This window comes from Homo sapiens, chromosome 5 (assembly GCF_000001405.40).
Source record: "Homo sapiens chromosome 5, GRCh38.p14 Primary Assembly".
NCBI lineage: Eukaryota > Metazoa > Chordata > Mammalia > Primates > Hominidae > Homo > Homo sapiens.
The window spans coordinates 23,768,646-23,780,844 of record NC_000005.10 but is presented as its reverse complement, the minus strand read 5'-3'; the positions used below and the strand labels follow the sequence as shown (position 1 = coordinate 23,780,844).

The 12,199-nt window shown below is 34.4% G+C and overlaps 1 long non-coding RNA gene across 1 annotated transcript in view; it reads left to right on the top strand.

Moving 5' to 3' along the window:
- Positions 1 to 8,638, top strand: part of LOC107986377 (uncharacterized) — a 57,078-nt gene extending 48,440 nt beyond the window's left edge. The window contains exon 5 of the long non-coding RNA XR_001742503.2: positions 8,003 to 8,638. This is a non-coding gene — a long non-coding RNA (uncharacterized LOC107986377). The remainder of the gene's footprint in view (positions 1 to 8,002) is intronic.
- The last annotated feature ends 3,561 nt before the right edge of the window (positions 8,639 to 12,199 follow it).

The following is a 12,199-nucleotide window of genomic DNA, read 5'->3' as shown; positions in this document are numbered from 1 at the left end:
TAAAAATTGAGTGGTTGAGGAGGGCAATAATATAGATAATTTCTTGAGAAAACTATAAATAAAATAATGATACAAATAAATTGTAGGAATACAAAAGAGGACAAATTATGGGTTTGTTTTTTGTCTACCTTTCTCACTAAAATATACTCTTATGAACATAGAGGGTTTAGTCTGTTTTATTTACCACTTCTAGCAGGCAAAATAGAAGTCCCCAAAGAATGTCCACATCCTCAGCCAAGGAAGCTGTGAATGTGCTTCCTAACAAGGCCAAAAGGACTTTGCAGATGTGATTAAAGATCTTGGGGTGTGAAGATTATCCAGGATTATCCAAATGGAAGAAATGAAATTATATGTGAAAGAAAAAGACCAAGTTGTTCAGTATCAGAAAGAGATTTGAAGATGCTAAATTGCTGTCTTTGAAGGAATGGAAGGAGCAATGAGCCAAGGTGTAGAGGAAGCCTCTAAAAGTCCGAAAATGTGAGGAAATGGATTCTCCACTAATGCTTTCAGAATGATCTTTGATTTTTAGATCAGAGAAACCCATTTTGGACTTCTGATCTCTAGCACTATACGATAGGAAATTTGGCCCCTTGTAAGTCATTAAGTTTTTGGTACTTCGCTATAGCAGAATGGATCACTAATAGACTGCTACATTCTCAGGACCTGCAATGATCCTAGGCACAAATTAGTCAACTAATAAGCATATGTCATTACTAAACAAATTCATAGGACTAGGAAACATTATACATGGTTATGATATGAGAAATATATATATGTGTGTGTGTGTGTATGTGTGTGTGTGTTTGTGTGTGTGTGTGTTTGTGTCTATGTGCTTTTGTGTGTGTGTGTGTGTGTGTGTGTGTGCATATTTCTCCATAAACTAAATTATGCTTATGTGGGTCTGTGGTATTAAATTTTATATGTTTTGTTCATGAAATTATTTTACTTACAAACAATAAAAATAGCATTTACTTAAATATGTACTTTTTTTCTGTAGATTCTATCCTTGCAGTACTCAATGTAGGAGTTGCAAGTTTGTACAGATTAATACAGAATAATATTAAATTTAATCTTAAACCCCTAAATAAAGCATAGTCTTCCATCTCACTAGTTTCTTTTTAATGTCAGAAACATCCTTCCATGTACACCTTGTAGAGCTTATAAGGATTTACTTGACTTATAGCACTTATAGATGAGTTTTTAAAAATTACCAACCACTTTCAACATTTAACAAACCTGAATCAGAATTGGTTTTACATAGATTTATCTAAAAATAGATATTACTCTCTCTAATTTGAGAAAGGTCAGAAAAGACAACACAAACTAAAGTAAAATAATATTGTTCCAGAAAATTTGGTGAGCCGCTAGCAGAAGGACTGAGACTTTTAATCAAACCCACTTTGACTAAGAAACTGGTAAAGCTTTCAGCCATTGTGATGTATGTAAAAATATAAACTGTTCTTTATAGAGTTATTTCCTATTGCAGAAGTACATGTTGTTATACACACACAAGAGATGGATTATTTCCTATCTTGACATCCAAAGTTGATCAGATACTACAAATCTAACCTTATAGACCATACTGTAGAAATAGGAAGGAACACTGACGTTATTTCAGAAAACGTAGAGACTTCAAACTTTGAAATGAAGTACTGCTTTTTTAAGAGTTTTTTAAAAAAACTCTTTTGAAATAGTTGTTCTTGTTACTTTACATATTAAAATATAAAAAGAAAATCACTACTGTGTGCTTGCCCCCTTATGTGAAAACCTTAGATTTGCCATAGAATTATTAACATAGTGGCATCAAATATTTTTATTGAATTGTACAATAAAAAGTCCACACATCTCTCCAGATAAATTGACATTGTATAAATGTGATTATATTCTAAAACATTAAAAATATTATATTAATGTGAATATATTAATCAGTGGCTCTGTCTCAACTGGGTACAGGACACTGGAATGCATATAAAAGTAGAAAAAATAAACTCAGAACTGGAAATATTAAATGGATGAGATCACAGATTTTATACAAAGAGAATAGGATTGGGTTGGGTGATTTCTAAGTTCCTTTTTGACTATGACATTACTGTAATGAAAGGTTGAGAAGAATTAATTTGTCATAGGTGGCATTTTTAGCATTCTTACCTGTTTCACAGAAAAGTTGCATAATTAAAACTTACAAGTCCATGCAAGAACTAATTCTTAGATTCAAAAAACAATTAGGAATAGGATATTTACAAGAATAAAAAATAACACAGGTCCACTGGCCTTAATTTTAAGACAAAATATTTTCCAAGACTCTTTTTGGTTAACAACAGTTATTTAAAAACTCTGTGGATGCTCTAGATTATGTCAATCATTCACTTATTAATCCATTCATCAAGTATTAATTAACTGCTTGAAATTAGCCAGTGTGCTAGTTGTATAGAAAAAGAAAAACTAATTAATGAGAAAGAATATGCCATAAACATTGGGTTGATAAATTCAGCATATTAGAATGGACCCATTAAATGGAAAATTTAAGTCAATTTTTTACTGCATTTGACTGTGTAGGTACTGAGAATATCGTCAGATAATCTAGAACACGTATGCTCATACACCTTTCATTATGTACAAAAACATGTGACTAAAATAATGGACATCAAGTCTTTTGAAAAGCCCAAAGCTTAAAAAATAATGTAAAGTAAAAATAATTGGCTAAAAGATGCTGTTTTCTAGTACCAGATAAATGTATAGGTTTTAAAATTAGAAGGCACTTAAATTATTGAAAATTTGATTTACTATCTATACACCATGGAGTTTTCTCAGTTATTTGAAAGATAAAGGAAATTTCACCCACTCCACAAATGGACGATTGATTCTACATTTCCTTATTTCAGGTATTTTCTTAAGAATTTAAAACCAGTTCTACTGTCATAATATGCACTATCAAAAAACCCTGATAAAGATCAACTTGAACATAAGAAACTTGGTATTCTGAGAAATGTTTAAATCCTTATATTTATGCCTTAACCAGTGTAAAATAAAGAGTGACTTTGACATAATTTCTTGCTGTGAAAAGTGTTTTATGATTTCATCAAAAGATTAACCATACAGATACAAAGATATGTTTCATGCAAAAAAATCTTACTCATAAAACAGGATAGAAGATTATATGTTATGTAAGCATATTTTTCTAAATATAATAATCCTCAAGCTTTCTGATTAGATGTCAGCAATTCTTGAAAATGTAAGCAGATTAGAATTGCTAGGGTAAATCTCAATTCAGCTCTTTGCTTCCTTTTATTAGGTGAACATTGTAAACTACAATTTCTGCTTATGCCTGCAGTTGACCTTATTGTATTGAAAAGATTATTTTTTCATACATAGTTTCTTACTTAGTTTCCTTGTTAAATCTGATTTCAAGTTTTAAGTCCTCTTTTCCTATGCATCACCCCACCCCAAATTGAACAACTGTACATCTAGTTGTATCATGAATATAAATATTCAGACAACATAGAAACCAAAGAAAGTAACCCTATACTAAACCATCTACTGGAAAGATTAATTTACTAATATTGATATCTTATGGATTTATTGAAAAAATTACAATGGATATTGTTATGAATTGTTTAGCTCTCACAGTTTTACACCATGTCAACTAGGATAATCTGGAACTGCTTCTCCAGGAATGCCCTTCCCTGCCTGTTTCCCCCTGAGAGTTTGGAAAAAAAAAAAAAGAGAGAGAATTGCATGAAATTTGGAGGGCAGAAATAAAGCAGTAATCACTAGTTTCTGAAGGCCATTGTGGTCAGACGAGCCAAGAGAGAAATTCAGAGCTGCTGTCAGTTTTCAGGTTGTCTTTGTTCCCCTTCATGGTGATAGATAACAAATAGATACCTGAAGGTTCACGTTGGTTCTCAACCATTCTGTGTCTAGCTCTTCCTTCCAAGTGCCAACTCTGGATCACGAGTTCCCTCAGGCCAACTGCCAGATAAGGAAGAAAAATTGTGCTACTTCCTTGATTCAGTCCTGACTGAAATAGTTTTTGATATCACAAATTATTCCAGAGGACTGAAAGTTCAGGATAAGAATCTCTACTTTGTATTCATATCTGATTACATTTAAAGACAATGATGTCTCTATCATCAGTATTTAAAGGGTCATTGGAGGCCCATGGCAAACAGTGGAAAAACGGTTACTTAAATTATCCTCTGTAGATACTTGTAATCAAGTGCATGCTGAAAGTAAAGTTAAACATTAAGTAGTTTCTGACATAATAGACTAGTGAAAATAAATTGTATAAAGGAGTTGGAGGATTGCTTCTAAGAACACTTAGCAACATAGAGAAAAAATTTGCAGGTCACAGAAAATTCTCAGGTGAAGGTCCACATTAGAGACCAGAAATCTACTATGACTACCTTGAAAAAAAATCTAATCTCCTATAGCCACAAGACAGAGATTTCTAGAAATTCAAACCAAAGACAAAAATATTGGTGGTTTCAATACAATGTGAATTAAATTTATTAGCATGCAGTACCTATAATGTTAAATTGAAGCATTAATAAGGAAAGGGTGGAACCCTGAAAATTAGGAAGGGTTTATACTGCAAATTATGATGACACTGAGGATATTGAAATGCGTATTCCCTCTAAACAATGTTCGTGTATAATCCCACTGTAATTTATCAACATTTTAGATTGGTTTTATATGTATAACTTGTTACTGGAAGTTAAGTAGAACTTTCTTTGGTATTGGAATTAGAGCTTACAGTTAAAATCAAGATGCACTTAGAACCTCATGTTCTATGAAATCAACCATAAATTGAATCATTTCAGCTTATCTGGGGCTTGTTAAAATGCTGCATGATTGCTTGTCATTCCATGGCATTCCTGAAACAATCTATGTAGGAATTTTGGAGAGGGGATTGCAGTATTTATGCCAAGAAGTTTGTCTATTCCTTGAATCTGCATATTTAAGTAGAATTCAAAGAGAATCATACACACAGATTGGATTTCCTACAAGGGGACACAAATGGCATTTCTCAGAAGGGTCTAATTGGGCAAGATAATTGCTTATATGAACCCATACTCCATGACTAAGAGGGCAGGGGTACCTAGAGTGTTGTCTGGGCCAATAAAAAGACAAAAGTGTAGTGGGTTAGGGATATATTTGTATTTGTTTATCAATTCATGGATTTCCTGTGGGTTAGGTGGACAATATGGAAGGCAGAATTGGAATAACCTTAAGGACCCCATCCAAAAGGGGTAAAAATCGGTGTTTCAGAGCAATGTATGGAAATAGTGTCAGAGTCTGACAGGAGTTAGGAAGGCAAAATTAGTCAAGCTTGGTTAACAAAACTACAAAGAGAGGTGGTCCATAAGGAGCTCAGAAAAATTTAGCAATCTGCGACTAGAGTTCTGATCCACAGAGAACATCAGAGGCTATAACAAGTAAAGGTGGGTGAAGTGTAGATTGCAGAACAATTCTATGAAGATTATCTTAGCTCATTCAGGCTGCTATAACAAAATATAGACTGGGTGGTTTATTAACGACAGACATGTATTTCCTTCAGTTCTGGAAGCCGAAAAGTCTAACGTCAAGAGTTCAGCAGACTGGTTGCTTGTTAAGAGCTCATTTCTCAATTTATAGATGGTATCTTTTAGCTGCATTCTCAAATGGTGAAAAGAACTGGGCCTCTCTCATAAGAGCAATAATCCCTAATCACCTCCCAAAAGCCCTGCCTCCTAAAACCATCATTTTGTGGATTAACATTTTAACATGTGAGTTTGAGAGAGATACAAACATTCAGACCATAGCAAAAAGAAAAAAAAGGGGGAGAATATTTGTATCAAGTATGAGTTTGATCTGGATTTGGAGAAATCATGGAGACAGAGTGGGTTGGACTCAGTTTGAAATTCAATAAGTCATACTATTTTATAATCCATTTTCTTTGAGTGTGGAAGGGAAGTGTGACTTGTTTCTGGTAAATAATATATGGGAAAGGTAAAGGAATTTTGTCTAACTTCTTTAAGTGTCAAAACGTTGATTTAAGATTAATAGTAGGAAAGAATATCCTGAGTGGGCCTAACTTAACCAGGTGAAAATCCTTCAAACAGGGACAGAGGGCTCTTTGGTTCAGAGACTATTTCTCTCCTTCTGGCTTTGAAGGAGCCTGGAGAAATTGTTCTATGTCATCAAGAAACACATTCTGCCAACACCCACGTGAGCTTGGAAGAGAAACCTGGGTGTCAAATAACCCCCCAGCCTGGCTGATACCTTGATTACAGCCTGAGGAGGGCCTGAGGAAAGACCCCAGCTAAGTTATGTTTGTACTCCAGGCCTAAGAAATAGTGAGATTATGAATGGCTCTTGTTTTTAGCCTCTGTGTTTGTGGTAATGAGTCGTGCAGCAATAGAAAACTAATTCACACATTTTAAAAATCACTTCTGATCATCACCTAAAGCCAGGGAAAGCAACCAGTAATACAAAAGAATGAAAGCGTGGATAATATTACTAAAATAATTATTGGTGGCAGGGATGAGTCATGGCTGCACTACCTGTGAACAGCACTTGTATAGATTCAGCAGCAGTGCCACAGGGCTGACTGAAAGGACAAGCAGAGGTTAGAGGGAAACTTAGCATATGGGTCACTCAGAAATCACCAAATTAAATACTCATTCCCATTTTCTTTATTCGTCTTCATTCTGATCAACCACACAGAAATCACACACACACACACATGCACACACAAACATACATACGTGTAAAATTATTCATATTCCTTCCCTATATTTATTTCCACTTTCTGAGTGAGAAAGCGATGAGAATGCACTTAAATGGGAAAGGTCCTCACAGGCTCTCAGTAGCAGGTGAATGCTAAAATAAAACCACTAAAACCACACACACATATGAAGAACACTCATGCAGAGTCTTGTGAACAAACTATAGAAGAATCAAGGAGGGCTGGGAAAACTGGAAAAACATTTGGAAAATAAAAATATCGATATATAGTGCATTATGGCCAAGGGTAAATACTAAAGGGGTTGGGAAGAGCAAAGGAATCAGGCATATATAAGTGTAAAAAATAAAACTATAAAAATATAGTTAACATAAATATAATAAAACTGTAAAAATCTAGAGGAAAACGTAGATGAACCACACTATGACCTAAAAAGTAAGCAATTGTTTTATACTCATGATTCAAAAATTGGACATGATAAATAAAAATAATTATACATTAGACTGCATGAAAAAATAATAATTTTTTTTCTGCCAAACCATACCATGATGACAAAATACAACTTATATACTCAGCAAATATTTGCAAGTTGAAGAGGCACACCTACAGAGAGGCTATCTAAATAACCAATATACATCCTAAAGGGCTCTTAATCTCATTGCTCCAGAGGCAAATGCAAAGTAAAACCATGTTGTTATAGTACTAGACACCCACCCCAGTATCTAAAATTAAAACGAAAAACAGAACATTATCCATATCACATGTTCATAAAGATGTGATGTTACTTCCACTGTCATACACTGTTGGTGGTAGGGAAAATTTGTACAATCACTGTGTTAAGTTGTATGAGAGTATCAACTAAAGCTTCATATTTGTCTCAGCTATTACTCTGTAATTGCATTACTAAGTGATTCTCAAGAGATACTAAAAGAAATATATGAGGTGCTTTTAGAGCCTTATTTTTAATAGCACCAAACTGGAAACATTCCAAATGTCTATCAACAAATGACTGGAGAAATAAGTTTTGGTATGTTTCTACAAGTGGCACAGCACATAAAAGTTACAAGCTAAAAATATATAACAAAATTAATAACATTTTGTTCTAAAACATATTTTCATTGCTGAGTCTTCATCAATATTATGTGGAGTTTGAGTGAAAAATGAAATCTTGAAGTGTTTCAGGAGCAAAGCCCTCTTGGAAGGATAAGTTTACAAAACAAATTTAAAAATAGTGATTTTCAAGGATTTGGCCAGATCATGATTTTTTTTTTTTTTCAGAAGTCCGAAGAACTAAGTTCAAAACTTTTGAAAATGTAGAGTTCTCAAGAGTTTGAGAGAGCCTTACTGGGAGAATGCAGCCGGGCTGGGCAGAATGCAGCCGGGCTGGGCAGAATGCAATCCCCAGCAAACTTGTGGTGCTGACATAAAGAAGCGTCTCAAAATGCTCAACTCAAACCTCTGAAGCATGGAAGGAAACCTATCAAGCTCTCTGTCAAAACTCCATAAAGATCCAGAATAAATAAAGAATGCTTACAATTCAACAATGTAAAGACAAATAACAAATAAGTGGGCGAATGATTTCAATAGACTTTTCCCAAAAAAAGTTGCATGACAAAGAATAAGCTCGTGAAAGGGTGCTCAACATTGTTAATCATTAGGGAGACGCAATGCAAAAACAGAAAGATGGATGGAAACTTTTCACCCACTAAAATGCATGCAACAAAAAAGACAGATAACAGGTATAATGATGTAGAAAAACTGGAACCTTATGTTACTGGTGGGAATGTAAAGTGGTACAGAGGCTTTGGAAAATAATCTGGCAGTTCCTCAAATGATATAACATAGAAGACAGCAATTCTACACCTAGATATGTACCCAAGAAAAATGAAAACATTTCTAAACAAAGATGCGTACGTGGATATTGATAGCTACATTATTCCTTATGGCCCAAAGTGGCAACAATCTAAATGCCCATCAACTGATGAATGAATAAAGAAAATGTGTTATATCTATACAATGGAATATAAAGAAATGAAGTACTGTTCCATGCTACTACACAGATGATCCCTGAAAACATTATGTAAAATAAAAGCCAGTCACAGAGGATAACATGTTGAGTGATTTCATTTATAAAAACATACGTAATAGGAAAATCCATAACATCAGAAATTTACAAATTACTATTGGCAGGAGTGGAGCATAGGATAGGGTGGGAAATGGGAAGTAACTGATGTTCTTGTTGTGATGATGAATGTATTCTGGAATTAGACATTGGTGCTGGTTGTACAACTTTGTGCATATATCAAAACTCACTGGATTTCACACTTAAGGAGAGTAAGATGATGGTATTTGAATTATATATCAATAAAGCTATTACTAAACCAAAGGAGCGCTACCTCAGGAGACCACAAATATACTAGGAATCGAGTGAAGCCCATTAAGCAAATTGAGAAAGCAAACTCAGACTTGATTCAACTCAGTGAATGATCAGTTTGATGTGTTTAGACCCCTCATCCTGTCGGCCTAAGGGAAAAGCTGGGACACAAGGACCTTAGACTTTAGTCTCTAAGCTTTTTTATACATACTGTAAGGCAGGAAAAGAAACAATAAATGTGACTTATAATCAATAGAAAAATGAAATAGAAACAAAGGGATAATTTAGATTACAGTTAAGCTGCAAGTATTTTTAAATAATAGTGTAAATATTTTAGAGACAAAAGAAAAAATCAGAGATAAAATCATCCCATAAACATAAATATATACATATATTTTAGTGAACTATATTAAAGATTGTAAAGCAAGTCTGAAAAAATTTCAAGAAATATAAAACATAAAGCGTATGTTATTTCTTATAGCTAGTGGAACTAGTAATAGGAGATACCAGTAGAACTAAGGTAAAGCAATGCTTATTTTAAGTTACTGTTCTAAAACTTCTGATCAAATTTTTAAGGTATTTCTAAAAAGAGATTTATTCTCTTTTCTACTCTATTTATAAGATGAGGAAAACACTTTGTAAAGTTCATATAAGAGCATGTTTGAAAACTAAATTAAATTGAGACAATAAGTCATTATAAATTGCATCTACAGAAGAGAATTGTTTAATTGATCCCTTTAGAAATTAATATTAATGAAAATTAACAATGGGGAATTGTTGAACTTAGTACTTTTCATATAACTTTAGTTAATGTAAGAGATATTTGTTAGTCTACTAAAGCCACCATGATAGAATAAAACAGACTGGATGGCTAAAACAACAGAAATCTATTTTTTTCATGGTCCTGGAAATTGAAAGTCCAAGACAAGGTTTCAGCAGAGTAATTTTCTCCTGAGGTCTCTGTCCTTAGCTTGCAGATGGCCAACTTTGCACTGTATCCTCACCTGGCATTTCCTCTGCTGTCTCTTCCTCTTCTTCCAGTCCTACTGGATTAGAGCCTACCCTATTACCTCATTGTACCTTAATTATTTCTAAACAAGACCTATCTCCAAGTACAGTCATTGATGGTTAACATTTCAACATAGGAATTTTAAGGGGATACACTTCAGTCCATAACAGACTGTTAAGTACTAAAAATTGTGTCTTACCTTGGAACTTTATCAGCTAATGCAGATGAATCATACATAAATTTATACTAAGAAGTACATTATTAAGAGTTAACTTTGTGTATATGAAGCAGAAAGCTTTATTCTTTCTGAGCAAGACTGTCAATGAAGTTTATCATACTACACAATGGAACAATTACTAAAAATACATTATCAATTTCCAACATCTTTATTGAGGTATAACTTACATAGAAAAAAATCTGCATGTTCAATTTATAAAGTTGAAGTTTGGGCATCTGTAAATACTTGTAAGACAATCACCACAATGAAGGTAGTAAACATATCCATCTGATGTGGTTTGCCTGTGTCCCCACCCAAAACTCACCTTGGATTGTAGTTTCCATAATCCCCACCTGTCACTGGAGGGACTCAGTGGGAAGTAATTGAACCGTGGGTGTGGTTACCTCCATGCTGCTGTTCTGGTGATAGTGGATGAGTTTTCACGAGATCGTATGGTTTTATAAGGGGCTTTTCCCCCTTTTGCTCAACACTTCTCCTTCCCACCATTATGTGAAGAAGGATGTGTTTGCTTCCCCTTCCACCATGATCGTCAATTACCTGAGGCCTCCACAGCCACACAGAACTGTGTCAAATAAACCTCTTTTCTTTGTAAATTATCTATTCTTGGGTATATCCCTATAGCAACATGAGAATGGATGAACACACCATCATCCCCAAAAGTTTTCTGTGTCAGCTTTGTGATTTTTGTTTTGCTTTGTTTTGTCATCTTTGTGTGGTAGAAACACTTAGCATGAATTCTACTCTTTTAGCACATTTTTAAGTGCACAATACTGTAGGGTTAGCCGTAGGCACTGTGAAGTACAGCAGATCTCTGGAACATACTCATCCATTGACAGATGTATGCATAAATAAAATGTGGTGTGTATATATAAATGGAATATTATTCAGCCTTAAAAAAAGTGGTATCCTACCATTTACAATAACATGGATGAATCTCAAGGACATTATGCTAAGTGAAATAAACCAGTCAGAGAAAGACACACACTGCATGATTCCACTCACATGAGGTGTCTAAAATAGTCTGACTCATAAAAACAGAAAGTAGAATGATGGTTGCCAGGGTCTGAGGGGAGGGGAGAAAAAGGAGTTGTTGCTCTTTGTTAAAAAATATTTACCATACCTGTGATTATTAAATTTTGTTTAAACAAAGTAGAAAAGTCTTCCCCAAGTCTTCCACAAGAGGATCTTATCTCTTTCAAATATAGACTTAAATGTCATCTTTCAGAAAATCCTTAAAGATTACAAAATCTGAAAAAGTTATTCCAAACCAGATATTGAAAATAACCCTGTTTTGGCCGGGCATGGTGGCTCACACCTGTAATCCCAGCACTTTGGGAGGCCGAGGTGGGCAGATGACCTGATGTCAAGAGTTTGAGACCAGTCTGGTCACCATGGCGAAACCCTGTCTCTACCGAAAATACAAAAATTTGTCAGCCGTGGTGGCACACACACCTGTAATCCCAGCTACTCGGGAGGCTGAGGCAGGAGAATCGCTTGAACCTGGGAGGTGGAGGTTGCAGTGAGCCAAGATCGCACCACTGCCCTCCAGCTAGGAAAACAGAGTGAGACTCAGTCACAAAAAAGAAAAGAAAAGAAAAGAGCACTGTTTTATTTTCTATAGAACACATTTCTGATTATTTTACTCTTGGATTTGTTCATTATTTTTCCTCCACAACATAAAGACTCATATATATTCTTTTAATGGAGGAACCTTGTCAGTCAAATTCACCACTACATAGTTATAGCTAAAACAGCACCTAATAAATAAGGGACTTCATATATCTATAAGTTTGCTATCATATCATACTAATAGTCTTATAGTTTCATTGTTTACATTTTACAAAAAAATTATAT